Source organism: Homo sapiens, chromosome 8, assembly GCF_000001405.40.
Source record: "Homo sapiens chromosome 8, GRCh38.p14 Primary Assembly".
NCBI classification, from domain to species: Eukaryota; Metazoa; Chordata; class Mammalia; order Primates; family Hominidae; genus Homo; species Homo sapiens.
The window spans coordinates 76,020,144-76,025,432 of record NC_000008.11 but is presented as its reverse complement, the minus strand read 5'-3'; positions in this window follow the sequence as shown (position 1 = coordinate 76,025,432).

The window sequence follows — 5,289 nt, the reverse complement described above, 5'->3', positions numbered from 1 at the left end:
TACGTTTGATGTAGGTCAAGCAGAGAAAATTGTTTTTAGAATTACCAATATAAATACCAATATCTTGTGTTAATGGTTAAACTGACAAATTAAAACTTACTTTCCGAGCTTTTGGAACAAAGCCATTGAAAGTACATGTGAATTCTGAAACAAGGCAGAGTGATAGAAACCATTTTGGGAGATGAGAGGTGAGAGAGTTGAAAAAATAACCCCAAATGCACAAAGTTAAAGAAGTCTGGAAGAGCTGCCCTTTCCATTACAGAAACAGCACACAAATCAGTGGGGAAATCTTACTCTAGGAGGTGGAGACATCACTATTTAGTCAAACTTTTCTGTTTCATTCATTATTTGTTTTCATGTATACTGACATGATAGAATTTTTAGTTGAAGAGAAAAAGAGAAGGGAAAGCATGATTATTCAATTATTTAATTAATTCAAAATTATATTGTGAGCCATTTATGTTCCAGGCATCATTCTACCTATTAATGATGCTGGCATAAACCATCTAGTGATTTCATGGACTTAAGAATAATTAGAAAGGCAAAGATTCCCAAAGTAGAGGAAATGTTTATGTCAAAATGAATTGATTCTTTAATTTTAGATGCAGTTTTTTGTTCATTTTCTGATCATTGCACTTAAGTGGCATGTTTAGAACAAAGTTTGGAGTTAATCTATCGTTAATTAAATATCAATATTAAGTCTCATTTTACAGACTAATCTGCACATTTTACAGACTCAAATCATTTGCTTATATTTTAGAAATATGATTTCTATTAAGGTCAATAGGAATAGTGTGGCTTCAAACTCCAACTAGTACTTTGAAAAATTACCCCTACTAAGTATTACCAGTTTTTCCTGCTGTTGATATTAATACTTACCAAAAGTGGAATTTGGAAAATGTCCACAGATGAAAACAATTTTATCAGAATTTTCCTTATCCTTATTTCTGCATGAAGTAACATATTGAAACATTTGGAGAGTGTTTTCAAGTAACACTCTTTTTTATAGGTTAAAAAAATGTTATTTTAAAACTCCAATGAAGAAAAATATATAGATAAAGAAGAGCAGCAAATACTAATTGTATAGACTCTAAGAGCAAAAGCATTAAAATATATCAGAGGTATATTTTCTAAAATGTATGACATTTGGAACACAACTCTCAAAATTCTATGACATTTCTACATATGGGATAAAACACACAAGTTGTATAATATCCTTGTGCAGATACAAAAATATATTTTGAAATCAGAATAGGAACAATCAATGCCTTGCCAGCTTAACCAAAGATTCCTCAAAATAGGAAAATTAAGATAACAAACCAACCACAAATAAGTACATATAGTAATTATGATTGGTGAATTAGGGTCGTTTTGTTGTGCAATTTTAAAAGTTGACAAAATGTTACTAATCTACAGTGTCTGTTTTGCTAACTTCCATTCCTATTCAGGGCTAGAAAGATGCTGCTCCATCTTCCAAGCAAACAATGGATCTGTTTACATCATTTATTAATAGTAATTTAATAACAATCATGACAACAACAATATAGTATTTTATATTTGTATAGTATGTCACCATTTACAAAGCATTTTCCTCTACTCGCAGTTTTTCATTCAAAACTTTCAAGAACAACTCAGATCATCGCATATGGCTGCAGGCAGGTGATGCTCTCTAAGAGCCTCTGATGCAAACCAAGACGCCTAGAATTAAGCAACCCAGAAGCCACATTTCCAGGGCCAGGCCCCACATCCATGCCTTACCCAACACTCACATTTGCTCCCATGGCTTCCCATGGGAGTAGCCCTTAGTAATACGTTGTTTCAAATGCTTGGTTAAATATCTGTCTTTTCAACCACACTGTACTTTCCTTGAGGCAGGGCCCATATTTTTCACTTAAGTATCTGATATATTGTAAGTCCAAAGTATATTTGAAGCTTTTAATAGAATGAACTAATGAATCCTTAATTGTCAGGTTAAGAAACAAAGCCTAATGAGGGGAAAAAAACCTGTTCCCATTGTTAAGTCCGTTGGCTCCTTGAAATGGGGTTGTGCTTAGCTTTTCAATATGAAATTAATTTTATGTGGGAACTGGCTTATAGGAATCCAATAAACTCAACTAATGTGAGGAAAGAAAACATAAATGAATGAATGAATGAATGAGTGAATTCTGCCAAATACTTATTGTATTTGCTGATATACAACAATTTTGCAATCTTAAGCTTTACACTTACCCTAAGTCATTACCCAGATACGGAGTAGCGTAGTGATAAAAATTGTAAGTTCTGAGATCAAATTGTTTGGGGCTGAAATTTGGCTCTCATTGGACAGGTTACATAACTTCTTTGTGTCCCAGTTTTCCATATATAAGATATGAAAACTAACGCTATTTTCTTCTTTGAGTTGTGAGGATTTCTTGAAGTAATAAATGAAAAATTATACAATGTAATTCTTGGCAACCTGAAAACTTTAAATAAATATTAGCTATTGTTATTACTATTCTATATTCATTTTTCTCTGCTTCTGAAGATTGACCTGGACTTTAATAGATCTGAGTCTTCCAATTAGCTGGAGCTAAATATTCTCTGAATGGTAGCCAGCTCTAATGCTGACCCTAGAGAAATTCAATACTGTTGTGGCAGAATTTCTATTGAGAACATTTTTTTTTTGGAGGGGGGTTAATTTTAACAGATTTAATTCATTCAAAGTTTCAACAAAGTTGTATATCCATTGTTAAGTTGGAGGTGAAGGTCAAGAACTTTTGTATCATGGGTAGGTGAATTACTTATGCCCATGTTTCAAAATTAAATTAATAAAATGTTATTTAGTTTTAATTTGAACTATATCTCTTTTATAGTGTTTTAAAGTATAGTATTCGTGTCTTAAAAGACTATTTAGCTTTTCTCTTTGTCAAAATTATTATTTTAACTGAAAAGGAAGTGATATGTTCACCCTGAATCTACAGGCAAACTATAATTTCAAGTGGAATAAAAAGTCAGCATTTCCAAAATTGTTACTAATAGTTGGCTTTATAGCTTTATTTCTATTTTCTTGGGTCCTTTATGTTAATTTCATCAAGATTATATCTCATAAAAATATTGATTAATCTAAATTCTTTAACTTTTTTTGTTTTTGTTTGTTTGAAATAATACGCAATACAATTTATCTCAATTTTTTCTTTAAATTTAGTGAGTGGTAAGTAGGTCAAGGTTACCAAAAGATTCTTGGACTAAATCTTACATTTTTGCCTGTGTTTATGTTGTATTTTGAAAGACTTTGAAGAGAATTCCTGATCATTTTAAGTATTCCAAATAAAAGTCTAAATAGAGAACCATTCATCCAGATGTACGATCTACATCACAGAAGAGGCGTCTAAAACATATGTTTGACTGTCTGGCTTTCTTACTTATTTGGTTATTTGACTTTATATAAGCATATTCTTAAATAGTGTTGATCACTTGAAGGTATAAAAGAAATTTATTTTAGAGGGAGTAAATGAAAATATAAGTCATACATTTCTTCCAAAGGATCCTGGATGTTCATTGTAATCACAGGGCAATGAATTAAGTATACTGGGTCCTCTAATGATGAAGGGAATAGAGTAGGTCATTGTCTTTTTTAGTGTGATTAATATTTATTCAGAACTGTCAGGAATACTTACTACATACTATGTCATGTTCATTAAACATGTTATACAGCAGTCTGTCAGAGAGAGAATCAAAAGATCTGCCAGAGAAAAATATGCTTCACAAGCAACAGAGATCATCATTAATGCAAAAACAGAATACTCCACTCAAAACAATATATTTTTCTTCCTCTCTCCAAACCCTCAACCTTCAAATTTTAGTGAGTTGGCATTGCGTAAAAAGTAGGGCATGAAACAAATCCAAAGTTTTTCTTTCATTCATGTTAAGAAACTGAAACAAGATGATTACATTCCTGGTAGTAGAAATCTTAGTGCCCAAGCTTATCAAACATATTAATATATTTATAAACTAGAAAATAATCAGTAATTAGCCAGCATAGCTAAAATATACCAATTCACTGATTATATCATTGTCACAAAATGTTGATTGGGACAGGAGGATGAGGAAAAACAAGAGAAGAAGAAGAGGCAGGAGGAAGAGGAAGAAGAGGGGGACGAGGAGAAGGGGAAAGGCAAGGAGGAAAGAAAGCATACCCTACAACAGAACATAGGATGAAGCTTTCATCAGCTGGTGTCTATAATCTCTGAAGAATAAATAATATGAGGCAACTTATTAATAAGCTTAGATGAAACATATAAAGCAACTGATTGTTAAATAAATTTACATTTTCAAAGTAGTTCTGTTAATCTTGATTTTTGACATATTCAGTGTGGTATATTTACAATTTTCTTCTTTAAACAAGTATGATTTATGTATACTGAATAAATTATTTTCTTTGCTTTCAATTTTTTCTTTAACATCTAGTCGAAACATAGAAAATGTCTGTGAGAGGCTGAAAAGCAGCCCAGCTGTGGTTATTTCTTAGATGTCAGAATGAGACTCCTTGGGGAAGAGGAATAATGTAATTCCCAATGGGGTTGGGGTGGGGAACAGCAATAAACCATTCTAGGGACTTTTGGGAGCTGGAATGTTGCATCTGTGAACAGCTTTTTAATAGAGCCAAAGGAAATAGCAGTAACACTTCTGCTGCTTCTTTTCCAAGAGTTGACCAACATTTATTGATTATTTTTTTCTGCCAAAGATTATTATAGTGGGAAAAGTTGGAAGATCTAGATTTATTTAGGCTGCCTACTAGTTATAAGAATGTAGACAATTTTTATTAACATTCATTGCTTTGCCTGATCTGAAAATGTGGACATTAATATTTTTACTACCTTTAAAAATCAATTTCTTCAAGATTAGATTAATAAAGTACATGTAGCAACACAAAAAAATATGTCATATATAACAAAAATCTGCTAGAAAAATATGCTACATAGTAAGAAAGGTAATCATTAACTCAAAACAGATACACCCTTGAAAATAATAGTTGTTGGTTTGGGATTTTTTTTCTCTGCTCTTTAGCCACTCTCCTGATTATTTTTTCTTACTTCCCCTGGTATCACTCTCCCTAACTTTCTTTTCTCAAATTCATTGCTTTAGATGATAGATGCCCCAAAATTATTTTTCTTATTAACAAAAGTGTGAAGTAAATTAAAATTGTTAAAGGAAACTGACATGGAAATTATAAATAATGACCACATTTGAGCATGAAAAATATAAAAATTCTTTTCATATATAATTATGTAATTTAATATGGAATACTTG